Source organism: Homo sapiens, chromosome 10, assembly GCF_000001405.40.
Source record: "Homo sapiens chromosome 10, GRCh38.p14 Primary Assembly".
Lineage (NCBI taxonomy): Eukaryota > Metazoa > Chordata > Mammalia > Primates > Hominidae > Homo > Homo sapiens.
Window position 1 is genome coordinate 27,023,003 of NC_000010.11, and position 27,632 is coordinate 27,050,634.

A 27,632-nucleotide genomic window follows, 5' to 3' on the forward strand; every position below is an offset into this window, starting at 1 on the left:
TAAACCAGAGATCAGAGTCCAAGGTGAAGAGGAAAATCATACTTAGGCTGGACCAGTGGCTCATGCCTAAAATTCCAGCACTTTGGGAGACCGAGCCAGGCGGATCACTTGAGCTCAGGAGTTCAAGACCAGCCTGGCCAACATGGTGAAACCCTGTCTCTACTAAAAATACAAAAATTAGCCAGGCGTGGTGGTGCATGTCTGTAATCCCAGCTATTCAGGAGGCTGAGTTGGGAGGCGGAGCCAGGAGAATGGCTTGAACCCAGGAGGTGGAGGTTGCAGTGGGCCGAGACTGCACCACCACACTCCAGCTTGGGCAACAGAGAGATTCCAGGGAAAAAAAAAAAGAAAAGAAAAGCATACACATACTTATACATGAATGGTTGAAAAAGACACAAAAATACATTTGATATCCGTTGACCACTGTTTATAAGAAGAAAAGTACAAAAAAAAAAAGAAAGTACACACAAAAAACATCAAGATCATTCAAAGTAGATAAGAGACAGGAAAGAAACATTTTTGACGTCTGAGTTAAGGGGAAAAGGAAACAGGCAGAGTTTTAGAAGAAAGGAAATGAGCAGAGAAAGCATGTATAAAGACACAAAGGCTGCTTTCAGAAGAGATCCAGAAATCTTTACTAGCACAACGTTAACAAAGTAAAAGGGATGCCAAACCACGTTAGAGAAAGACAATGAGAGAAAAATAGTAATTAGAATCAGAACAAACGTAAGTACTCAGCAAATAAACAGAAAAGCAGCCATGTTAGGGGCTTCCAAGGCAATGGGTAACATTCCATTTTTAAATCTGGATAGTAGAAACATGATTGCTCATTTCACTCTTAAATCATACATACTTTTGTATATGTATGAGGCATATATGTTTTAAAACAAACAGAAGTTTAATAACATGTATACCTCAGGTATACATGGGGGATATCCATGGGAAATGAGTAAATTTTCATGATATATTTTATTACTACACACACACACACACACACACACACACAAAGAGGCAGAAAGAAAGCATAAGCTAAATCAAGATAATTTTTGATGCTTCCAAAGGATGACACAGATAGGTTTTTAGATATTAAAAGATTTGAATATCTTCTTTGAAGGGAAGGACACTACCAAAGAGAGAAAGATTACCAAAGAAAGTGAAAATATCTTCAGAAATAAAAGTTCAAAGTAAAAGATGAAGAGTGCAGTTGACATTATATGCCAAAGGCATTGTTACTGCTTTCAAAATCATTAAAGAATAAGTGTAATATTTAGGCATTCCAAAAGTTTCAGATTGTGCTGCAACTTTCTAAAACCATTTTAAAAGAGAATAATTTCATTAAGAAAAAGTAGATATTAAATGAATTTATATCTAGTTTTGAACAAAGTAAAATTATATTAAATCAATTAATGAATGGTTAAAATGATCTGAAATATTAAAATCTTACCCAGTTATCTCTCTTTCTAATTCAACATTTTTCTTCATTTCTTGATCCAAATTACATTCCAGTGACTGTTTTAATTCCATAAGTTTCTTTAATTGTTCCTTTTCATCTTCAGACTTTGAAACAAAATATTTTCAATTACTTTTAAAACTCTGGAAACACTTTTTTTCTTAAAACTATTATTTCTTATGAGTTCATGAGTAACATATGTTTAGGCATATAAAATGCAGTTTATAAACCTAATGGCAATAAGAACGGATTTGAAAAAATGACTTTTCTTAAAACAGCTCATATCTCTTTTCTGGAATTTAAATTACCAAAATTTGTTAAAAATAGAAGTTTTTACATATAAAATACTAAGTGTTAATGAAAATTCCTTTTTAAAAAGTTATTTTAGATGTACGTTCTCATTTCTGAAGTTGCTCTAGAAACACTGTCATCAGTAGTTCAAGATATTCCAGTTTTTGTTAAATCAAATCTTACTAAGACAATTTTTAGAAAACTTTCATCTGGTTCCCGTTACATTTTTTATACTCACCTGACTTCAAGATGAGCTATCTCTCATTCTCTATAAACATTCTTCTATGGGTTTCAATTTTTCCTGTTCTATTAACCATTTCTCTTTAAATAAAGTTTTTCTTCTCCACAATAAACAAAAACATAACTTTTGCCTGATTCTTGTGGCTTTTTTAATCAACCTGTTTTTCCATTGGACTCTCTTTTTTGTTTGTTTGTTTGTTTGTCTGTGACAGGGTCTCACTCTGTCAACCAAGCTGGAGTGTAATGGTGCAATCATAGTTCACTGCAGCCTTGAACTCCAGGGCTCAAGCAATCCTCCCACCTCAGCCTCCTCAGTAGCTAGGATAACAGGCATGCACCACCACATCGGCTAATTTATTTCATATTTTTTAGAGACAGAGTTTTGCTATGCTGCCCAGGCTGGTCTTGATTCCTAGTCTGAAGCGATTCTCCTGCCTCAGCCTCCTAAAGCACTGGAATTACAGGTGTCAGCCACTGTGCTCATCAGGCTCTAATATTTTTTAATACACGGTCTCATCTAGAGATCTACTTCTTCATCACTTGTCTTCTTTTATACTAAAATCTAATTTTCAGTCTTATAATTCTCATTTTAAAATTCTGAAAGTCATCAAGGCCCTATTTTTTAGTCTTTAATCTGCTTTACTTCTCAGCAGCAACTACTATCAGTGACCATACCCTCCCCTAGGCGTCTCTGACCTCACTTCATTTCTAAATGCAGCAACCCTTCATGCTGAGTCCTGTCCCCTTCCATTCCTCTTTTTTAAATTCTCTAAGAGCTCCTTAAATCTCAAGGCTTCATCCCAGATTCCCTAATCTAGATTTCCAGCCCAGACCTCTTTCCTGAGGTCTCTTCCTTCTGTTTCACTTCTCATAAACCATATTCTCAACCACACACTCATAAACCATTACTTGGTGCAGATTCCTTTTGTAGGTAGCTAATCTTGTACATTTTATGTTGATTCTTATTGGTGTTATTTTGAGTGTAGTGTTATTTTCTCATCTTGTGTGGGCACACTCACCCTTAGGATGTTGACCAGCATACTTTGTCTTTGTTTTTCTTTCATAATGCAAAACTTTTCCACAAGGGTCAGATTATTGATTGTTTGCCTTTGCTTTCTTTTGACTAATTCCCTTTTCCATAAAGACATGAGATGAGAACCTTCTGGAAAAGTTAGGGGCTATTGATGAGTTGGTTGAAAGCGGTCTCTATTAAATTTTTGATTCACAGTGTACATTTCAAAGTGACTAATAATTATATGCCATATTCCTAACTCATTTCTATGGGAATCTACAGAAAATCCCCCATTATTTTTGAATAAGCTTAGCAGGTTTTGAGTACTTTTACTAAATTTTCCATTTCTGAGATGTTGATATATTCCTGGATGACATCCATATAAGGGGATGTCCCCCACACTCTCATTCACAGGAGACTTCATATCAATATATTGTCATGTCACTTGTGTGAAAAGGATGCCAATAAAGTAGGACTAACACATGAAATCTAGAAAAAAAACTTGTCAATGTTTCTTCTGATAGGTGTATCTGTATAGGAGAGTAGCATAAATCTTCCTGTTGTGACTTAAAGAAACTCATTAGTAGAAGCATCAACCTCATTGCTCCACTTTAGTATTTACAATGCAACCTTCTGATCTTCATTTCTACACAGGAAAGTGTGAATGACCAGAGAATCCTGTTCTGCTTGTTAAACATCAAGCAGAACATCAATAAATAATCACTAAATTGGTACATCAATAAATTGGTATTGTGGATTACACGGCCATCCTTTCTGAGACTGGACTGTTAAGGTTTTGGTTTTTTTTAGTTTTTTTTTTTGAGATGGAGTCTCACTCTGTCACCCAATAGCACAATCTCGTCTCACTGTAACCTCCACCTTCTGGGTTCAAGCAATTCTCCTACTTCAGCCTCCTGAGTAGTAGGATTACAGGGGCCTGCCATCACGCCTGGCTAATTTTTGTATTTACAGTAGAGACAGGGTTTTGCCATGTTGGCCAGGCTGGTCTCAAACTCCTAACCTCAGGTGATCCACCCGCCTCGGCCTCCCAAAGTGCTGGGCATGAGCCACTGCGCCTGACAGGAACTGTTAAGGTTTTGAAAGACTGATGAACACAGATAAATGGGAAAAAAAGTTTCTGAATCTGCAATGCTAGGAGCACTGTGTTATTCTGTAATGTCCTGCTGGAGCAGCCATTTCTACTTTTTCACAGGTTTTTCTTTTTTAAAATCCAAAGAGAAAAACACATTACTTTGGGGGAAAAGAATGCTTGTATAATGACATAGTATCCATTCTTGATGAGGAATAAAAACTACCATGTTAAAAGCAATTCATTCTGAAATTCTCACTGAAGGGTTTAGATTATAAAAGAAATTCAGAATTGTAGATCAAGTCACTACTCAAATTTCTTAGAATTTCAAAAGATATTACAAATATTAGCAGAGACTCAGACAATTGTACACCATATCCATAGCAGCATTATTCACAATAAGCAAAAGGCAGAAATAATCCGAACGTCCATCAATGGATGAGTGAACAAACAAAATGTATATAAAAAACACTGTTTTTAGTCTATCATAATCTTTTTTATTAAAATCTTACTACCAAACTCATTAATGTTATGAATTCAGTCAACTTCTATAAAGTCAAGAGGACTTGCACTACTAGTAGCAAGTAGTATTACCATGAATACAATAAATATTTTTATCAATAAGGATTTTCATATTATCTAAAATATTCTTACATACAGATAGTCCCCAACTTACAATAGCCCAACTTACAATTTTTCAACTTTAAGAGTGTGTGAAACCACTACAATTTGGATTTACTTACCATGGGTCAACTTATTAATACAACTTTTTGACTTTATAATGGCGTGAAACCATCACAATTTCAACATACTTCAGATTTTGAATTTTATCTTTTCCCAGGCTAGCAATATGTGGTATATGAGATATCCAATACTTATTATAAGATAGACTTTGTGTTAGATGATTTTGTCCAACTGTAGGCTAATGTAAGTGTTCAGAGCAGGTTTAAGATAGGCTAGGCTAAGCTATGATGTTCAGTAGGTGTATTAAATTTCACCTTATAATATTTTCAACTTACAATGTGTTTATGAGGATGTAATCCCATCATAAGTGGAGGAACATCTGAAAATTTGAAATCCAAAATGTTCCAAAATCTGAAACTCTTGAGTGTGGACAGGATGTCACAAGTGGAAAATTCCACACCTGACCTCATGTGACATGTCACAGTGAAAACACAGTCAAAACTCTGTTTCATGCATAAAATTATTTTTAAAATATTCATAAAAGTGGCCGGGCACTGTGGCTCATACCTGTAATCCCAGCACTTTGGGAGGCCGAGGCGGGCGGATCATGAGGTCAGGAGATCGAGACCATCCTGGCTAACACGGTGAAACCCTGTCTCTACTAAAAATACAAAAAAATTAACCGGGTGTGGTGGCGGGCTCCTGTAGTCCCAGCTACTCGGGAGGCTGAGGCAGGAGAATGGCGTGAACCCGGGAGGCAGAGCTGAGATCGCACCACTGCACTCCAGCCTGGGCGACAGAGTGAGACTCCATCTCAAAAAAAAAAAAAAAAAAAAATTACATAAAAGTAACTTCAGGCTACATATATAAGGTATATATGAAAAATCAATGAATTTCATGTTAGGCTTGGGTCCTGTCTCCAAGATATCTCATTATGTATGTACAAATATTCCAAAATAAAAAAAAATCCAAAATCTGAAACACTTCTGGTCTCAAGCATTTTAAATAAGGGATACTCAACTTGTCCTACTAAAGCAATAAAATTCCTTTTCAGTACGACAGAAATTAAGTGGCTGACTTACCAAATTTGCATTTAACAGGTTTTTCTGAAGCTCCTCAATTTTGTCCATTTGCTTTTTGACTGTAACTTTTAACTTGGCATTATCTTTTTCAAGCCTGAAATGTATATTTTAAAATAATTATTCTCACAGATAAATTTTTAAAATACTGTGTAATTTCTTAGCAAACACCTGAAGGCATAATTACATAAATTCTTAAAGATTTCAAAAGTAGGTGATTTGGCAACTCTATCGTTTTTCTAGTTGTGGTTTGTGGATAATGCACAAAATTCTAGGATAATATAAAAAAATCCGCATTTCAAAATTGCTTAATGCTGAAATTTTTCCTTGACTTCACACAGATGTACTTATGATCATAGCTGATATAATTCTCATACTACACTGCTTATTTGCTCTATAAATAATCATGTTTTTCTGTGTGCTGCTTTAAATTTTACTTTTGCTTGTGATCTTGCATCTTCTCAGCACATCTGACAGCTTCTGTATGTCGATCCTGTGCTTCTTGCAACTAAAACAAAGAATAAAAAAAACCCACTTTACTAATAATCTAGTACACATCTGTCCATTACCTGTTTTTGTAACTAAACCTTATCGGAACACAGTCATACCCCTTCAATATGCATATTGTTTATGGCTACTTTTGTGCTGTGACTGTAGAGCTGATCTGTTGCAGCAGGTGGTATCTACGGCTCCCAAAGCCTAAAATAATACTATCTGGCCCTTTACAGAAAAGTTTATCAACCTGCGTTCTAGAACTAAAACATATTACTCTTGTTTTCAAACTATATTTTATCAGATAAATACTCAAATTTACAAACTTGGTAAAATGTAGAAAGATAGGAAATTACCTTACGATAAGCATTTATATTTTTGCATTCCAAGCACCACCACATGAACTATAAGTTTAAATATTTATAGATGTGAATGACCATGGCAATGCCAGTGATTATAAAAATTAACATGATGACATGTTAGGTGACAACTAGATATTCATGAAACTGAGAGGCCGTATCCACACAGAAGCGGGAATGGCCGGGTGGGAATCCCAGCTCCACCAGTTACCAGCTGTGTGACCTTGAGCAAATTAACATTCAGTGTCTCAATTTCTTCAGTGGTAAAATAGAAACAGAGACAGTAATACTATTACTTCACTGGGATGGTAAGAAGATTCAGTCAAGGAATATATACATAAAGTACTTAGATGAGTACATGGCATATAGTGAGCTATATATAATATTTGCTGTTTGTGTGATTCTTTTTACTGTATTTTATGTTCTAATAAAATTGTATATTTTAGGCAGATGGCATGCCAATGGAAGTGGTCTACTATAGCTGCACTGAATCATTCTTCACACCACTGAAAGTGAAAGCAAATGGGGAGCATGAGGCCCAGAATACACCCCTAGTACTTCACAGAACTTTTGCCAATTCCACTAAGCCGACAGTACTTTAAACAATTATAGATTACTTTCTCTCTGCTTTACTCAGTGGGCAATGACCACAATGCAAACAGCACCTCCTGGAATAAGTAATACATAACTTACATGGCCATCAGAGCACTGGACTGAAAACACTGGACTCTGCTGCGAAACAAGGTTCCCAAATCAAGTCATTTGCAACAACTGTCTATGCTGAGCTGCTTTAGCGAGCACTCTGGTGGGCTTAAGGCTAAGGTTATGTCGTACGGTGTAGGAGAAAAGCTGGAGCTCTTTGGGTGGGAAAGCGGTATGAATCTACGGATCCCAGCTCTGGCTACGTAATAAAGAAATGGAAATGTAGATTTCTTTTCAGGGTGAAAAACATGAGCATTTGATTGAATAACTTTCCTTTACTAGATTAAGTGGTTTCTACTTATATTTAATTACTTAAAATATATTTAGAATAACCACCTATGTTAGCTGTGGCCTTGTAAAAAAATAAAATAATAAAAATAGAATAAAAGCTTTATTATATCAATGTCTCAAAGAAGAAATTCTTAGTATAATATAAAGTAATTTTAACCTAACAATTGCTAAGCTAAAATATTTTCAATTTATACAAGGATAGGTGACAGGCATATCAGATATTATTCACCTCGTAGGCAAATTTATAATTAGACAAGTTTCTCTCTTATGAAAAAAAATAAAAGTGAAGTTAAATTAAGGGCAAATTGTTCTACACAGACTAGACAAAGAGTGCTAAAATGTGAGGTCAATGAGATCCAGAACAGTCAGAGAAAGCTTCCGAAAGGAGGGGGAATTGTGTGCCAGGTCTGAATGAATGAGGCTAGATGAACAGAAACTGCAAAGGCAGGAAGAACAGCAGGAGTCAAGCAGAGAGATGGTGAAAGCAGCCTGATTAACTCTGAAGATAAAATCCAGTGGCAGGAGAATAAAAACATATGTCTTATAAATGAATGTTCATCGCAGCATTATTTACAGTAGCCAAAAAGTAGAAACAATCTAGAGGCCCATCCGCTGATGAATGGATAACTGGTATAGCCATACAATAGAATATTATTAGACAATAAAAAGAAATGAAGTACTGATATGTGCTACAACACAGATGGACCCCAAAAACATGCTAAGTAAAAGAAGCCACTCATAAAAGACTGCATATTGTATGACTCTATTTATATGAAATGTTCAGAACAGGCAAATTTAAGGAGACAAAAAGTAGATGGTGGTTGCCTAGGATTGGAGAAGGTGGAGGGACATGGACAGGGATGGTGGTGATGGCTAAGGGATGTGGGGTTTCTTTTCAGGGTGATAACAATGTTCTAAAATTGACTGTGGTGATGGTTACACAACTCTGTAAATAATCTAAGAGACACTGAATTGTACACCTTAAATGAGTGAACTGTATGGTATATAAATTATATCTCAATAATGTTCTTTAAAAATCCAGTGGAGGGATCTAGATAATTTTCTTAATTCTCTAGTTTAGATGTACATGCTATACATAATCTAAATATTTCTATGTTTTTATAATATATTTTAAATGAAAGGAAAATGAAGGAAATGCCTATTTCAAATAGTTTATAAATTAACCTAAAACATTTGCATTTTGGAGAAAAGTTAATGGCCTTTCTGTACAAATTAATTTGAAATCCATAAAATAAATCAACACAGACTCTGTATCCATTCACAAAAGTGAAAATAAGAAATAAGACAATTTTCTGGAACATTCCATTAAACATTATCCTCTAACTTAATCTGGCTTGCCATGACAATAGAAAAATCACTATAAAATACTGTTTAACAGGAAAAAACTCTCTCAACTTCCATGAGGAATGATGTATAATTCTCAACTTTCCTAAGACTAAATATTATTTTTAAAAATGTGCAATTATAAGAAAAAAATGGCAGAATGAAAGAGTTTAATAAACAAGATGGGTGCGGTGGCTCACATCTGTAATCCTAGCACTTTGGGAGGCCCAGGCAGGTGGAACACCTGAGGTCAGGAATTCGAGACCAGCCTGGCCAACAGGGTGAAACCCCATCTCTATTAAAAATACAAAAATTAGGCCAGGTGCGGTGGCTCACACCTGTAATCACAGTACTCTGGGAGGCCGAGGGGGGTGGATCACCTGAGGTTAGGAGTTTGAGACCAGCCTGGCCAACATGGCAAAACCCTATCTCTAACTGTAAATACAAAAATTAGCCAGGCGTGGTGGTGGGCACCTGTAATCCCAGCTACTCGGGAGGCTGAGGCAGGAGAATTGCTTGAACCCAGGAGGCGGAGGTTGCAGTGAGCCAAAATTATGCCACTGCACGCCAGCCTGGGCTACAGAGCGAGACTCTGTCTCAAAAAAAAAACAAAAAACAAAAAACAAAAATTAGCTGGGCATGCTGGCACACACCTATAATGCCAGCTACTCAGGAGGCTGAGGCAAAAGAATCGCTTGAACCGGGGAGGTGAAGGTTGCAGTGAGCTGAGACAGTGCCACTGTACTCCAGCCTGGGCAACAGAGTGAGACTCTGTCTCAAAAAAAAAACAAATAAATAAAGAAGCAAGTGTATTATAAAGACAATAAAATTTAGACCATCCTGGCTAACACGGTGAAACCTCGTCTCTACTAAAAAAAACCACAAAAAATTAGCCAGGTGTGGCGGTAGGTGCCTGTAGTCCCAGCTACTCGGGAGGCTGAGGCAGGAGAATGGAGTGAGCCCGGGAGGTGGGGCTTGCATTGAGCCGAGATCGCGCCACTGTGCCACTGCACTCCAGCCTGGGCAATAGAACGAGACTCCATCTCAAAAAAAAAAAAAAGATAATAAAATTTAAATTAATTATAATGAAAACACAAAAGAAGGCTACCCACTAAATTAGTATGATAAAACACTATATATTTAACCAGTTATAGATTAACTGTTTGACATGTTAAATTTCATACATACTTGATTTCTGATTTGACCTAATTTCTTCTTTAAATCCTGTGTCTCATCTTCTAAATTAATACGATAACGTGACGTAACCTCCAGTGAAGCCTCTGACATAGATTGTTTTTTTAGGGTATCAGCTAGTTCTTGTTGAAGTTGTCTCACAACAACCTGATAAGACATTTTGTTACTGATTTTATAAATCACCTTATTATTAAGTTATGTTAAAAAATAAATTATGTTAATAATATTTAACTATGACATATACAACTTAAAAAATATTACCACATACATTGATTCACCTTCTTGTCCTCATATGTACACATTGCTGTTTATTACTGAATTCAGTTAAGGACACAGGTGTTATCTTCCTGCCAATTAGGTATGACGTTACTTAAACAACAGATTCAGCCCATTATTCATTCATCCCCCCATGAATTTACACTGCTTAACAATCTACTGAAGTCTCGAAATAGTTATGTGAGTGGAACTGGTAGTGATTAATTGTACCCTATGAAACATTTTTGCTCTTTTTTATTAGAACATCAAATCAACTTCAGAGCTCCTCAGATACTTAATTGCTTGCTCAAATTATTCCAATAGATTCCTATCTCAGAATACAGGTAAATTCCAATGGCCTTAGAGGCCCTAGGTAACCTGGCCTCCACTTGCCTCCCTGACCTCGGCTGCTATGACTCTCCCCTACTCACTCCATTCTTGCTGCCTGTGCATCCTGCCACCCCTCATTAGTGTGAAAATGGTGGTCCAATGCCAAACTAATAAATCACAAATCGCTACACTTACTTATCTTTATACTGAACAAAGTTATACCCAAATGATAGTCATTGGGCACTGAAATGAAAATTATGAGCAAATTATTTGCTCATAATATATTCAAAGTAAATTATAAATACCACTGGGGAGATTAAGTCAAATATGGTTGCTAAAATTCACATTTGTCCCAAATTATGGTTTAATAAAAAGTACATGCTTTAAAGAATTGAGAGATCATAACAATATGTAATTTGAGATTGAAATATTTTTAGACAAGTCAAATTGACAAGAATAAAAATAAAATCACATCAACTGAAATATATAAAAAGCTACTGACAGAAAAGTATTAAGAGATATAGCAATATACTTCAGTTTATCTGGAAATCTGGAATTAACTGTCAAAATAACACACTTAATTGAACCTTAACTTCAAAATCCTCATTTCAGGTATAAGCATTTCCATTTATCTGTTTCATGGTGGCAGACAAATGGAAATGTTCTTAAGATGTGGCAACATAAAGACACTAAAATTATTACTTCAGCAGTAAAAGACTACATTATTCACATTAGTTTACTATTCATACTAGTCTATAACAATTCATAACTTAAAACTCAAAATTTCATAGATGATACAATATCTTTACTCAAAGTAAAGCATCTCTCAGCTCTTTTATTTGCTGAAAACAAGGGATGTTTCTAAACTGATAGAGTAAATAAGCTTATCTATTTATTTTTATAGTTAACTACATAACTATATATTATTTTAAATTTTCTTTCAGGAGGTTTGAAAAATATTTATCTTTCTTGATACTTACTTCTCTTTCTGCCTTTTCATTTTCATATTGATACTGTCTTTCTTTTAAGTGATTACATTCACTGATTAACTCCTTATTTCTTTCTTCTAGCAGAAGACTTTGCTTTTCACTCTCAGCTTGAAGTTTTTGCACAATAGCATGAAACTGGTCTTGGATATTAATCACTGTCTTCTCTTTATTGTCAGCCTTGTTGTGGGCATCATCCAGTTGTTGTCGAAGCAACATATTCTCACTTTGTAGTTGAGACAATCTCTCCTCTACAGACTCCTGCTTTCCAATGTATTTATTCACTTTAACTTGTTCATTTTGATACTTTTGTTCCATTTCCTTCATTTGACACTGTGTTTGGCTTAGGTCCTTTTGTACCCGTTCTAAACCCAAAGTCTTTTCTCTGAGGGCATCTCTCGTGTGATGGAACTCAATTTCTAGGCTATTGAGTTTACTTTCAGTTTTAAATAGTTGTTGAGAAAGAATCTCATTGTTATCTTTTAGGTTAGACACATCAAAATTCATTTTGTCCTGTAAACGAGAACATTCATCTCTTGCTCTCTGGAAAGCAAGTTCTAGTTCTCTTTTTGATGTCTCACTTTGATCACGATCATGTATAGCAGCAGCCAATCTAGAATGGTATGATTCAACTTCTGCTTCCAGTCTTTCCTTGCTTTGCTTTTCATTCTCCAGTTTAGAATTTAGCATTGCATTCTCAGCTGTCAGAACACTAAGCCGTCCATTATACTGGGATATTGTTTGTGTTAATGTTTCCTCATTCTGTTTTATAGTCTTCTGAAGGTCTTCATTCTTTTCTTTTACAATTTTAAGGTCCTCAAAACATTTCTTTTCTTTTTCCTGGTTTTGATTTTTTATTGTGTCTATTTCTAGTCTTAGCATAGCAATTTCTTCCTGCAACATGCTATTTTTATGCGATAGGTCTTTTTCTTCTTCATGACTATGAGAATTCTAAGTAAAACAAAGGAAACTTTGAGCTAGCACCCAAGAAAATGACAGATCATGATTTCCTCTGAAATTAAAGAATAAACTGTACATTTTACAATAAAGGGTTGCAATAAGTGTATATCCAATTGAAAAAAAAAAAGTTGGATCAAAACTCAAACCGTATAGAGCATAAACTCCCAAAAGTTCAAAAATTTATTTGAAGACAATTAATCCATGAAAGTAAAAAAGAAACCACTAGAAAATTTTTAAGAATCACAGAATTGGAAAGGCCTTTTACTGAAGTACAACAAATTCAAAAGCATAAAAGATTAATAATTTGACCACATTAAAAAATTGGGTTTATACTCTGATATCTAACCCATACACCAACCCATAGTAAGAGCCTTGGCTCTACATATATTTGGACAGACGAAATTTCCTGAAGTTTTTCAAGTTCCTTTTTTCTGAGCATATTCTATAGATACTCTACTTTTCTCACATCTTTATAGTCAGTTATCAATTACGTTTATTGATGAATAATAAATCTAGGCATTGTACTAAGCACTTCTACATATATCAATGAACTCATTTAGTATCACAGTTTTGAAAAGGAAAAGTTAAAAAAAAAAAGCAGCTGTATGATTTTCCCTGGGTCTTCTGACTCTATTTATAGTGTTCTTTCACTAAATCAGTTATTTCTGTGGTATAAATATTTAAATACAAAAGAAGCCTTTTATTTTACAACACTAATGGTAAATAGGACAAAATTTGTAGAGTTCCTCTTGGAAAATCACGAGATTATTTGTTGTCGCAATAACTTTTGTTTCCTCTTCATAATGTTTGAAAATGTAATAATGTGAAACAGGGAGAAATATGCTGAACTGTTTTACTAGGAACAAAATACTTATCACTAAATTATCACTAACTATATATCATGGCATATCATTGTTTCAAAAGCTCTTTGTACCAAAATAAGATACTACTTGCAGTAAACCATTACTCTTCTCAACAGTGAGAAGAATAACATCCAAAATATGTCACTGAACTGGCTGTACTTTTCCTCCTTTCCTATGGGTAGAAGCAATAAACTAACCTCTCCATTAATATATCAAGGTGATGAAATCACTTCCAAAATCTCAAGCATCTATTGTTAGTAGCAAGGGTTTTGAGATTGTGGAAAGACCATCAATTCTTACGGAAGATATTATTAAAAGCTTCTCCTTTGGATGAGGCCATTCTGAATGTCATTACTTGACTGCTGCAGACAAGTGGAGCTGAATTAAGAACATCACTTTATCCAATGGACCAAAAACACTACCACTACCCCAAGATACACATATATGGTTTAAAAATCCTCGACACTTTCCAAGATGCATATATAGTTGGTTTTTAAAATATATACACATATAAATACATATACACACATATTTGAAAATGACTAAAGGAAATAGAAATACCTCAGAATTCATTTTCTTTTGAGCCATTTCAATCTCCTTTTGTTTGGAAAGGTGATTGGTCAGAATTCCATCTTGTAACATTCTGGCATTCTGTTCTCGAGAAAGTTGCCTCTGAGCGTCATTTCGCTCTTGAACGACCTAGAGATACATTAAGTTTTAGGTCTATTAGCATTTTGTAAAAGTCTAAAAGGTTAACAAGAGCAGAATTTTAAAACAAAAAACTTATAAAAAGGAAATAGCACATTAAAATGCAAGAACCTTTATTACTCAAGAATTACTCAAATTTTAATCACCTAAGTGACAGCTAAATTAATCAAAAAGCAAAAATGGTTCTTAATAAATACAGGCAAATATAGAATTGTGAAATAAAATGTCAAAACATTTTACTAGTTTCATCATAATTTTAGAGCTATTTAGCCTGTATTTTAACATTAAATGCCTAAATTAACATTTATGTTAGTGATTAAACTCAACTTACCCTCCATTCCTTCATTCAGAAAACAGAGACTAAGCATCTATTAGGTGCCAAGATTTATCATGAATAATTTTAGTTATAAAGGTCACAGGTCAGCTTGAGATAACAGTTTTGTTTTAAACCTAGATAACATATATTAAATCAAAAGGATGTGATAATAGTGATGAAATAAAGTTAAAAATATAAAATTTTTATCAAAAATTAATTTACCTGATTCAAATTACTTTTTACAGTCCTCAATTCCATCTCCAGTGTTTGGAGACTCAGTTCAAGCTGTTGTTTCACTTCAACTTCTTTCCTATATTGCTCTTCTTTTCTTCTTAACTGTTCCCTAATTTTTTCATACAACGTATCAGCATTTCTTCTCTTCTCTTCTTCTTGGTTTAAGCTAAATCTGCAGTTAAATATGTTTATCTTAAAATCTGTATTGTTACAAAATAAAAAGTTCATTGTGTGATATGCCGCTTTGTATGTTGGTTTATTACCCTAATACAATTTCTATGTTCTTGAATATTTTTCCTTTCTAGTTCTCTGATTTTTAATTTCTCACTTCAGTCTTTTCCAAAGGACATATATACTTGAAAGGTAGTGATGAAAGAACATTCTGCTAACTGGTAAGTTTCTGTTATGAGTACCTCTGATAAATATTATGGAAAAAGATATTGGAAATGATTCAGTAAAGATGCAAGTTGAAAATTATCTTTTTGGCTGGGTGCCAGTAGTTCATGCCTGTAATCCTATCACTTTGGGAGGCCGAGGCGCGCAGATCACTTGAAGTCAGGAGTTCGAGACCAGCCTGGCCAACAGGGTGAAACCACATCTCTACTAAAAATACAAAAAATTAGACAGGTGTGGTGGCAGACACCTGTAATCCCAGCTACTCAGGAGACTGAGGCAAGAGAACCGCTTGAACCCGGGAGGCGGATGTTGCAGTGAGCCGAGATTGTGCCACTGCACTCCAGCCTGGGCGACAGAGTGAGATTCCATCTCAAAAAAAAAAAAAAATCTTTTTTTAATTAGTCATAATTACTCCTCAATTAGGAAAGATCATTAAACTAACTAAAAAGAAGTTAGTTTACTAAAATGTTTATAAATCCAATAGAAATATATTTTTGTTTTTATGAAATATTGCAAGTATCCCTAAAAATTATTACAGTGTAAGATAACACCCTCAGATGCTTTCATACAACATATATCTGTATAATAGCATAATTAAAGATTAGGCTAACGAGCCTAATACTGGTTACCCCATACTTTTTATGTTTCTTTTTTCTGGTAACACTTTCGACATACCTTCTTGATTATTACATATTGCATAAACAATTTTAAAATCTCTTTTGGAACAAAACAGGATCTAATATTTAAGTAAACCGTAAAGAATAATATGCATTTTCAACACAGAACTTTGAATGAATTTTATCTGTGTATTAGAGAGAGATCACTTTCAGTAATCACTCACCATTTTATTTTTTAATTCATGCATCTTAAGAGTAAAGCTATAAAATTGTTCTGGCCGGGAACGGTGGCTCATGCCTGTAATCACAGCACTTTAGGAGGCCAAGGCGGGAGGATCACAAGGTCAGGAGTTCAAGACCAGCCTGGCCAACATGGTGAAACCCCGTCTCTACTAAAAAAATACAAAAATTAGCTGGGCATGGTGGCGTGCGCCTGTAATCCCAGCTTCTTGTGAGGCTGAGGTGGGAGAATTGCTTAAACCTGGGAGGCGGAGGTTACAGTGAGCCAAGATTGCGCCACTGCACTCCAGCCTGGGCAACAGAGCAAGACTCCATCTCAAAAAAAAAAAAAAAATTTAGGTTGAAAAAATGGCCATTTCATTCTCTATTGATTGAAACGTAAATTAACTAAACTTTCCTGAGAACAATTTAAAAATCTGGACCAAAGGCCTTTTTAAAAAAAATTCCTATACTTTAAACGAATAATTCTATATTGAAGAATTTATTCAAAGTAAATAATTAGAAATGTAGAAAAAGATTTATAAAAAGGTATTCCTTCCAGCATTAACTATAATACAAAAAAACTGTAAACCCAAAACTTACTGTATTAAATAATGAGTCTTCCATACGACAAACTTCTACATAGCCATTAAAGTGATTTAAAAGAATATATATTTAGTAGAAGTTCATAGTTAAGAACTAGTTATATTATTTCCAAGAATTTCACACTCCACAAGACTAAGAAGTTTTCTTCCCTGCTAAGCCCCAGAAGATAAGTCAGCAATTACAAGAATTCTATATATCTTTAGTACAAATAGTTAAACATTTCTTTAAAACTAGGCTATCATACCTCAAAGAGCACAGTTCTCGTTCCCATTCAACTTTTTGATGCTCTAACTGTGATTTTATTTCTTTTGTTTCAGATAGCTCCCTTTGTAGTACATTAACCTTGTCTTCCATTTTTTTAATTTTTACTGTAAGTAGTTCACAGTGATTTTTTTTAAGTTCTAATAATCTTTCACATGAAAGAGCTGCATCCTGGATTTTCAATAGGCTAACAGAATCTGTATCAGGAAGAAAACAAGATAGAAATATATGAGCATTTTTCCATATAACACACTGTGCACTATAACATTCACTCATTAAGACACTGACCAATTACATATTGAGGGCCTACAATGTGGAAGACATTAAACTAAGCTCTGAAGATAAAACAGGCAAGACCTCTGCACTTGCTTAGCTTAAAGTATAGTGAAGACAAAAAAAGTGACAAAATACAAAAAAAGTGACAATTATGAATTCAGATAGATGCTGTAAGGAAACAGAGTTCTATGACCACAAAAGAGAATTTGATCTATACTGGGTCCAGGGAAGATTTCCCTGAGGGAGAGGTGGCTACACTGAGAAATGAAGGACGAGAAGGCAGCAGTTAAGCAAATGGGGAAGAAAAGCATTCCAGGCAGTCTGCAGCGTGTGCTGAGGCTCTACTGCAGTCTGCTTCAGGTACTAACTTTCCTTCTTTCCTGAAACGACCAAAGACAAAACAGACAAAATACATGAAACAACGAGTTTCAAGAGAGTGGACTCAGGCAATGAACACAAGGATCCCTGACAGACAAGAAACAAAGGAAGTGGCCGGGCGTAGTGGGTCACACCTGTAATCCCAGCACTTTAGGAGGCTGAGGTGGGCGGATCACCTGAGGTTAGGAGTTCGAGACCAGTCTGGCCAACATAGTGAAACCCTGTCTCAACTAAAAATACAAAAATTAGTGGGGCGTGGTGGCAGGCACCTGTAATCACAGCTACTTGGGGGGGCCGAGGCAGGAGAATCGCTTGAACCCAGGAGGTGGAGGTTGCAGTGAGCTGAGATTGCGCCACTGTACTCCAGCCTGGGCAACAGAGCGAGACTCTGCCTCAGAAAAAAAAAAAAAAGAAAAGAAAACAAACAAAGGAAGTAAGTTTTATGGTCTTATGAATGCCCAGAGACCCGCTTTCAGAGTTTCTAGGTCATGATGCGGGGAGGAAAAACTGACATAAAGTCCAGCAGACTCCCTGAGTTGAAGTGATGAAGCTGAGAGTCTGGTAAACGCAAAGTAGACAGAGATCACAGGACACTAGAGAGGAGCGAGAGGTACAGAGAACCCTGGAGATCTACAGAGATCCCCTCTTGGGTATTGAGCAAAGTAATAAACAGTGCATGTATGCTAGGAAACTATCTGAAACCAAAGAAAAAACCCCATTAAAAAAAGGAGAGGAAATCCTGCCTGGTGCTTCCACAGCACCAGGAAGAGTGTTCATTCCCACAGTCAGGCTGAAAAAACTCATACTTCTCAAGACAATGAATAATCAGAAAGGTATTGCCTCAGGAGTGGGGAATTAGCCCAAATCATAAAAGCAATATAGGAAAAAGTCAAGCTGTTTATATGTAACTCAACTGTACCTCAAAATAAAGCTCAAGAAGATAAGTGGAGGCATGGAAGATATTTTTTAAAAACCAAATTGCACTTGTAGAGATGCAAATTACAATGTCAAAGATGAAAACTAAATTAGATGAAAATAAACACAGATTAACCATCACAAAAGAAAAGATTCATAACTTTGAGACATCAATGAACTACGGAAAAAAATCCAAGCAGCTAATATATAAGCCCCCAAAGAGGAAGGAAGAGAGACAGAAAAAAAATGTGAAGAAAAATTGGCCAAAACTTTCTAAACTTAATAAAAACTATAATCCCACAGATTCAGAAAGGATATGGCCAGGAGAGAAAAAAATGAAAGCAAACTATTATAATTATACCATATATCAGAACTATAACAAAATTATACCATATATGATGTGGTATGATATTATTTGAAGGTGGACTGTGATAAATTCAAGTCATATACTATAAATCCTAAAGCAACCACTAAGATAGCAAAACAAAGAGTCATAGCTTATAAGTCAAAAAAAAAACAAACCCAAAAACCTGAGATAAAACTCAGGAGCATCTGTAGATCAATGGAACACAACAGAGTCGAGAAGCAGAACCACATGTACGCAGCCAACATATTTTTGACAAAGGCACAATGGCAAATGCAGTGGGAAAAGGCTAGCCTTTCTGATGTATGATGCTGGAACAATATGTCCATATCCAAAAAAATGAACTTGAATCCATACTTCAATCCATACAAAAATATGAACTCAAAATGGATCACACACCTAAATGTAAGACGCAAAACTGGCTGGGCACGGTGGCTCACGCCCGAAATCCCAGCACTCTGGGAGGCCAAGGTGGGCAGATCACTTGAGGTCGGGAGTTTGAGACCAGCCTGGCCAACATGATGAAACCCCGCCTCTATTAAAAATACAAAAAAGCTGGCAGGGCGTGGTGGCTCACGCCTGTAATCCCAGCACTTTGGGAGGCCAAGGCGGGTGGATCCGGAGGTCAGGCAATTGAGACCATCCTGGCTAACACGGTGAAACCCTGTCTCTACTAAAAATACAAAAAGTTTGCCAGGCTTGGTGGCGGGCACCTGTAGTTCCAGCTACTTGGGAGGCTGAGGCAGGAGAATAGCGTGAACCCAGGAGGCAGACCTTGCAGTGAGCGGAGATCGCGCCACTGCACTCCAGCCTGGACGACAGAGCGAGACTCCATCTCAAAAAACAAACAAACAAACAAACACAAAAAACAAACAAAAAAATACAAAAAAAAAAAAAAAAAAAAAGCTGGGTGTGGTGGCACACGCCTATCATATCAGCTACTCAGGAGGCTGAGACACAAGAATCGCTTGAACCCGGGAGGTGGAGGTTGCAGTGACAGTGCACTCCAGCCTGATTGACAGAGTGAAATTTTGTCTCAAAAAAAAAAAAAAAAAGACCTAAATCTATAAAATTTCTAGAAAAAAAGCATAAGAGGAAATCTTTGTGACCCTGTGTTATGCAAAGACTTCTTAAATGCGATACAAAAAGCAAAATCCATAATTAAACAGATAAATTGGACTTCATCAAAATTAAAAACTTCTGCTCTTCAAAAGATACCATTAACAAAATGAAAAGTCAACAAAAAAATAAAAAATTAAAATGAAAAAAAAAAAGAGAATGAAAAGTTAAGCCACAAACTGGGAGAAAAAAATCCCTGCAAAAAATATAGCTAATAAAGGAATAATATCAAGAATATATCATATAAAGAACTCTTCAGCTTTGCACAGTGGCAGCATCATAGCCACCAATGAAGCACTGCAAAATGTATGCTAAATGTACATACATTTATTACATTACATACATTACAATGGGATACATAAAAAGGCCTTAAATTTATGCAATGGTCCTACCTTTACACTCCATTCCAAGTTGTTCAATGAGCAACATAAAATTCTTGTAACTAGAGTGGGGTAGCTCACAATCCTCTGAGGCTGTTTCAGATGACTGAGTTAAGTCATCAACATCATCCATAGACTGTATTTGGTTTTTGACCTATGAAATAAATAACACTGTTTCAAAATGTCCCCAGAATATTTATAGCACATACAGAAGTGGTAATTATCCATCTTTCTAAATGAGCAAAAACACAGGTATTTCTTAAAAAGAACTGATTTTTGTTAAAAGGATTTATTTATCAACAGCTAGTGCTTCTTAATCACTTTTTCAAAGTAAATGTCTTTACAACAAAAGATTCTCTTTTTTTTAATTTCATGTTTTTGTTTTTGTTTTTTTTTGACATCGGGTCTCGCTCTATCACCCAGGCTGGAGTGCAGTATCGTGACCATAGCTCTCTGAAGCTTCAAACTCCCAGGCTCAAGCAATCCTCTCACCTCAGCCTCCCAAGTAGCTGGGACTACAGGCATGCTCACCACGCCTGGTTAATTTTTTCTTAATTCTTGTAGAGACAGGGCTCCCACCATGTTGCCTAGGCTGGTCTCAAATTCCTGGAGTCAAGCAATCCTCCCGCTTTAGCCTTCCAAAGTGCTGAGATTACAGGTGTGAGCCACTGTGCCCAGCCCACTTTATCTTTTATAATGTATTTTTTTAAACAATAATTTTGATAATTTATTTTTTACAGTACCTTGTTCTTTTCATTAGATGTTTTCTTAGTAGGCCTAAAAAAAAAAAATACCTTTCAGGCAAATAGTAAACATGTAAAATGCAAGGAATATCTAAAACTATTGTTTTTTTAAATAAAAGCTCTGCATTTGTAATTTATTTACCCTATTCATAAAGTTTACAGGAATCTTTTTTACAGGTAATATAAAAGATAATAACTTTCTACAAGGGGTATTAAACTATATACAGAAAAAGTAAAAGTAAGGGACAAGAAAAATATACTAACAATATCATAACAAACAAATTTAGATCAAGCTTCCTGACAGTCAAAGCAAAATGAAAACATAGTGTTACTTGCATTATTCAATAGAAAGAAATATACCAGGTTTTTTTTTTTTGCTGTCGACCTTTTCAATAAAAACAAGCTTTTACGGGCACTAAAACCTATTTGGAATATATTACTTAACACCCTTACATGATGGAAACCCTTTTTGAATGACGGTATTAGTTAGCTTTTTTCAGGACTCACAATGCAGGTACTATGCATTATCCTAAGCACTGTACATATATTAAACTCATTTTAATCCTAACAATAATTCTGTGAGGTTGATAACATATTAGGTATTTTATAAAGGAAGAAAGTAGGCACAGGAAAACCAAGTAACTTGCCCAAGCACATATAGCTGGTCAGTAGCAGACCCAAAATTCAAACCCAAAAATTCTAGCTCCAAAACATATTTTGCTGTGCTGTGAAAGTAATATTTATTTTCAAGTGTTTTTAAGTGATATGATAGCAGATGAATCTATATTTTCATTCTATTTCTGGTTATAATTATAAATAATTTCTGAATCTTGCAAATATTTTTAAAATAAAAAGACCTTAAATCTAGCCAATTTGGAAATCTACTTTCAATAAGCTCAACATTTATTTTTTCTAAAGAAATTCATCAATGTTCATTCATTCATCTACTCAACTCTTTATTCATGCATTCAAAAATCCTTATTGAAGCTGGGCGTGCTGGCTCACGCCTGTAATCTCAGCACTTTGGGAGGCCAAGGTGGGCAGATCACTTGAGGTCAGGAGTTTAAGACCAGCTTGGCCAACATGGCGCAACCCTGTCTCTACTAAAAATACAAAAAATAGCCGGGCATGGTGGTGTGCACCTGTAGTTCTAGCTACTTGGGAGGCTGAGGCATGAGAATTGCTTGAACCCAGGAGACGGAGGTTGCAGTGAGCTGAGATCACGTCACTGCACTCCAGTCTGGGCAACGGAACAAGACTCTGACTTAAAAAAAAAAAAAAAAAAATCCTTACTCAGCATACATGTCAATGACACTATTAGCATAAGGCAACATGGTTTTTAATATTTTAGAACTTTATAATCTAAAAGTAATAGTCTGTGATAGATTGTCAATAGTTTAATTTTCTACTGTACATAAACAAAATCCTCCCCTTCTCCCCAGAATCTAAACAACTATTAAGTTAATACACCTGATCTTTTAGTCTTACAAAATCATAGCTGTTCATGATGCTACTGTCAAAAGTACTCTGATATCTTCAATTATCAAGAAATGTTTAAATTCAATTCAGTATGGCCTATATGTTTGCATGTTTATTATTAGATAATTTTTTAAAATCCATATATGATAGTTTAACTTTAAGATCATCATTGACACATTCAATTATATTACAATACTCCATTTTTGAAACAATTCCAAATGAACAACCTCTTAGCAAAAAACTACATTAATAGAAGTTCTAAGGACAATTAGTTTATTATAAATCTTTAAAAGATAATGGATCAAGCTTTCTGAGGCTTTGACATGCAAACAAAACTAAATTTCATAAGCATTTCCTTCTCTACTGGGTCACTCCCAAAAGCATGCAAATAAACTCTAAAAGCTTGCATTTTAAAATAAAAAAGAAAGAAGGCTCCCTTGAATCCCACATTCTTCTTCAGTTACCACCCATTTACCTATTGCCTCTCAGTCCAAGTTCTCTCAAACGCCGTCTGTGCCCATCCACTATAGTCAGGGCTCCATGGTGACCATTTATTGAAATGGCTGCTTGTCAAAGTCACTTGTCCTCATCTTAATCTTTCAGCAGCATGGAAACAGTCGATATTCTCTAGCTTTGGGAGACTACATCATTCTATTTTCAGAAAAAAATTACTACTAACCTTCCTCCATAGAAAAATAAAGAAATCATAGATTTTACCTTCCTTCATCCTCATCTATTTCACTTAAACTGCTGTCATCATCCACTTGTAGCAGGCCACCAGTTAGTAAACTGGCCTTCCCAAACACTGGTGAATTCACAGATTCTTTCGAGGTCCGTTTTTCTTTTTCAGTGCTCTTTACTTCCTTCATTTGCAAGGCAGGACCACTACTTTAAAAAATCCATGGGAAATGACAGTTACATAAGAAAAAAGAAAAAAAGAAACAACATGCAGAAAGAGAGTTAAGGAAAAGAAAGAATAAAAAATCCATTAAAAAGCCAATGTTTTCTAGTAATTCTAACAAAGAATAAAAATAATTTTTTATAAAATTCCAACATTTCCCCCATCTCAATTCATTCACTAATTCAAAAAACACGAATTACCAACAACATAAGAGAAAATGTATATTCCCTGCTTCAAAAACCATAATTTTATCATACCATTATGATAAAATGTGATATGTAAGGTTGATATATGAAAAGATATATCTGAACACAAGGACAGCTTTAAAACAGAAGAGACAAAATAGAGGAGTTCATGAGACAAAAAATGGGAGAAAACCATTCTACTTAGAGAATAGAAGGTGAGCACAGATTAGGCACACGGCATCTAGATGTTTCCTAGGAACTTGAAAGAAAAAGAGAAAGAAACTAGAGACAGGTGAATGCTACACTAAACTTGAATGTGACAGTAAAAGGCTGGAGCTCATTGCCTACAAACAATGGTCTTTAGACATGGAAGTAGCAATTAGATTTGGGCTATATTTTTTGTTTTGTTTTTAAACATCATAATGTTTCATTTAAATGAAGTTTATTTTAAATGAAGTTTTAAAAATAGCATGATACACATATAACATGGAAGAAGAAATCAGGAAAATATCCTGGGTGGGGGAAAAATCCTTTTAGAATACCTATATGTCATTATATGCAGTTCCAAAATAGCAATATTCTGATTAGTTATGATTTTGTTTGCAAATAAAATAATGGGCTGGTCACGGAGGCTCACACCTGTAATACCAGCACTTTGGGAGGCTGAGGCGGGTGGATCATGAGGTCAGGAGTTCAAGACCAGCCTGGCCAAGATGGTGAAACCCCATCTCTACTAGAAATACAAAAAAATTAGCCTGGTGTGGTGGTGCGGGCCTGTAATCCCAGCTACTCGGGAAGTTGAGGCAGGAGAATTGCTTGAGCCCAGGAGACAGAGGTTGCAGTGAGCTGAGATCACACCACTGCACTCCAGCCTAGGCAACAAAAGCAAAACTCCATCTCAAAGAAAGAAAATAAAAGAATTTGGTAACTTTTATAGACTTTTAGCCTAGTTGGATTTACCACCAGAAAAACTGTAATAATACTACTACTACTACTACTACTAATAATAATAATAATAATTATTATTATTATTATTATTGGAGATGGAGTCTCGCCCTGTCACCCAGTTTGGAGTGCAGTGGCACAATCTCGGCTCACTGCAACTTCCGACTCCCGGGTTCAAGTGATTCTCCTGCCTCAGCCTCCCCAGTAGCTGGGTTTACAGGCGCCTGCCACCATGCCTGCCTAATTTTGTATTTTTAGTACAGATGGGGTTTCACCATGTTTTCCAGGCTCATCTGGAACTCTGACCTCAAGTGATCCACTTGCCTCGGCCTCCCAAAGTGCTGGGATTACAGGCATGAGCCACCGCACCTGGCCATAACTACTTTTTTACGGTCTAAAAACATGCACAAGGATATCACTATCATATACCTATATAATTTACAGAGACTGAAATTTCCCACTGTGTTAAGAGTTGAGCATGAGCCCCTAAAAATACCCAGTATACTGAAATGTTTACATGTACTACAGATCTCTCTGTGCAATCCCTTGGCAAAATTCAAATTAATTTGAGAGCCCAACATTTGGGATACTATAATAAATATCCTTAGCAACATGTGTATATATGTAATGTGTTTATATAAATATCCTTAAAATACATACATTATTTAACATGTTATACATATATTATACATAGGCTTACTGTGTATTACACATAATATATAATAAATGTCCTTAACTTGTGTGTGTGCATTTTTATGTAAGTCATATTTTCCTGTAGAATCTAGTCCCAGAAGTGAAGCTGTTAGGTTAAAGATAGGAAATATTTGAAATTTTGATACATACTAAATTATCCTTCAAAAAGGATTTACCAATTTCATTTACCAACAGTGTATGAGAATGCCTTTTTTCTCACATTTGCCATCACTGGGTATTATTTTTTAAATAAAATATCAATATGATTGAAAAAACTGGTATCTCATTGTTTGCTAATTTGCATTTTTCTAATTGCAAGGCAAGGTTGCATATCCCTTGCATAGTAAAAGTATAAAATTTATTAATCATGAATATTAGTCCAAATTAGAATTTTTATAGCACAATAACAATTATCTGCTGTTAAATATGCTATCAGCTTACCTAGCATACTCTTTATTTTCCTTCCTGGGAAATTGCTGATGATCAGTTTCTCCACTCTTTCTTTTTTGAATTAATCCATCATCATCATCATCATCTTCAGCATCATCAGTAGCACCATCATGTATGTTTGCTGATACTTCCATTTCATTATTTCTGTGTTTTTTCCTTTCTTCTTCAACCTTTAATGAAAGTTTGATACTAAGGAATTGCTATTACTTTATTCAATAATAATTTCTTTGTTTTCATTGAGTTTATCATTTGACTCAGTTTAACTATGGTAACTTTAGCCAATAAAAATATTTTCTGCTTACTCTAATGGGATCATTGTATACATAATTGTTATATAATTATCAGCTATTATTATAATTTTATCAACGAAATTTTTGTAAAGTCTGCTTCATTTCTGTTTGGGTAAAACAGAATTTTCCAAAATTTCAAAGGCTCTTCTTAATTTTGTGCTTTTATTCCCATCCAATCTTCACTATCTACTATGAATTTTCACCCCATTTTACTGGCAGAAACAGAGAAATAAAAAGACAAAGACACAAGATGCATCTTCTTCTGCCTTTTTACCACCTGGATTTTACACTACGCAGCCAGGAAGAGAAAGGAATCTTCCCCCTTTCTGCACTAAGATATTCTTTTCCCCAGTGTCTTTTATAATTCTTTTTTTCGTTTGGATCCTGGGATATCAACAAAGTGAAGGTGCTCACTGAAATACAGAAACCAAGGTTTGCCACAACATAAGGAACAGAGTGAAACTGCTGAGTTGCTGGTGTGGAATTCTGGAGAATGAGATGCTTCCCGAATTTCACATTCAATAACTAAAATTTTATAGCTGGAGGATATATAGTATAAGTATTAATTATCTAAGTTAACCTCATTATCTACTGATTAAATGATCCATCCAGATTAAAACAAGAAAGATTAAATGATCCATCCAGAGCTCCTAAAGTGGCATTATCTAGCACTTTATGGCACCAAAAGAGATGATATAACTCCATAATGCTGAATCAGATAAATTACCAGATAAATTCATCAAATTAATCAGATGAATTAAGTGTGACACTGGCAAAGTAATTTAATGCCATAGCAGGGTGTGGGAAGTCTCGTCTGCTTTTACTTTTAAAGAAGAATATTGGCCGGGCGCAGTGGCTCACGCCTGTAATCCCAGCACTTTGGGAGGCCGAGGTGCGTGGATCATGAGGTCAGGAGTTTAAGACCAGCCTGGCCAACATGGTGAAACCCCATCTCTACTAAAATACAAAAATTAGCCGGGTGTGGTGGTGGGCGCCTGTAATCCCAGCTACTCAGGAGGCTGTGGCAGGATAATTGCTTGAACCCGGGAGGCGGAGGTTGCAGTGAGCCAAGATCATGCCATTGCACTGCAGCCTGGGCAATAGAGTAAGAATCTGTCTCAAAAAAAAAAAAAAAAAAAAAAAAAAAAGAAAGAAAGAAAGAAAAAGAAGAATATCTGCAGATTATTGTTTATCTTTACAACTCAATGTACAGAACTCAGCTTTCTACTTTGGAGTTAAATACTAAATTTCTGGCTGAGGATTTATGCTACTGATAGGGTATACATGCCCAAACTTATCATACTTTATTAAACAACATAATGTAAAGGTCTGGTTCAACAGAAACATTTGACTGGTGTTTTAAAAAATATGTGAAAGTACATGTATTTGTTGTCAAAAATCTTTAAAGTGATCAGAATGGAATTATAAGTTCCAACAGTTTGAGTCAAACAGATAAGCTTTACACACACGAAAGCACATTAAAAAGATCCCTTTGGCTGGGAATATTTGTTAACAATACTCAGGGCTAGATATAT

The 27,632-nt window shown here is 35.4% G+C and overlaps 1 protein-coding gene across 19 annotated transcripts in view, besides 1 other annotated feature; it reads right to left on the minus strand.

The window, feature by feature from the left end:
• Positions 1-27,632, minus strand: part of ANKRD26 (ankyrin repeat domain containing 26) — a 152,913-nt gene that overhangs the window by 75,421 nt on the left and 49,860 nt on the right. For 12 of the 19 annotated variants that reach the window (XM_017015929.2, XM_047424821.1, XM_017015928.2 and 9 more), the window contains 12 exons: positions 25,799-25,977; positions 23,351-23,521; positions 21,155-21,188; positions 20,424-20,565; positions 16,963-17,176; positions 14,869-15,052; positions 14,184-14,321; positions 11,794-12,750; positions 10,223-10,375; positions 6,284-6,354; positions 5,850-5,943; positions 1,445-1,557 (listed from right to left, as the gene is read on the minus strand). In XM_017015929.2, the coding sequence (XP_016871418.1) occupies positions 1,445-1,557; positions 5,850-5,943; positions 6,284-6,354; positions 10,223-10,375; positions 11,794-12,750; positions 14,184-14,321; positions 14,869-15,052; positions 16,963-17,176; positions 20,424-20,565; positions 21,155-21,188; positions 23,351-23,521; positions 25,799-25,977 (2,450 nt within the window). Of the gene's footprint in view, positions 1-1,444; positions 1,558-5,849; positions 5,944-6,283; positions 6,355-7,391; positions 7,599-10,222; positions 10,376-11,793; positions 12,751-14,183; positions 14,322-14,868; positions 15,053-16,962; positions 17,177-20,423; positions 20,566-21,154; positions 21,189-23,350; positions 23,522-25,798; positions 25,978-27,632 lie in introns of those variants that run through there. The other 7 variants (XM_047424832.1, XM_047424830.1, XM_047424827.1 and 4 more) reach the window with 3 other exon arrangements.
• Positions 26,871-27,040: an enhancer, noted in NCBI's record as "experimental_11810 CRE fragment used in MPRA reporter constructs". NCBI's record gives its function as "activates a minimal promoter by MPRAs in K562 erythroleukemia cells, with activity observed for the introgressed 10:27338887 variant allele {active_cell/tissue: K562}" and the evidence as "EXISTENCE:reporter gene assay evidence [ECO:0000049][PMID:34662402]".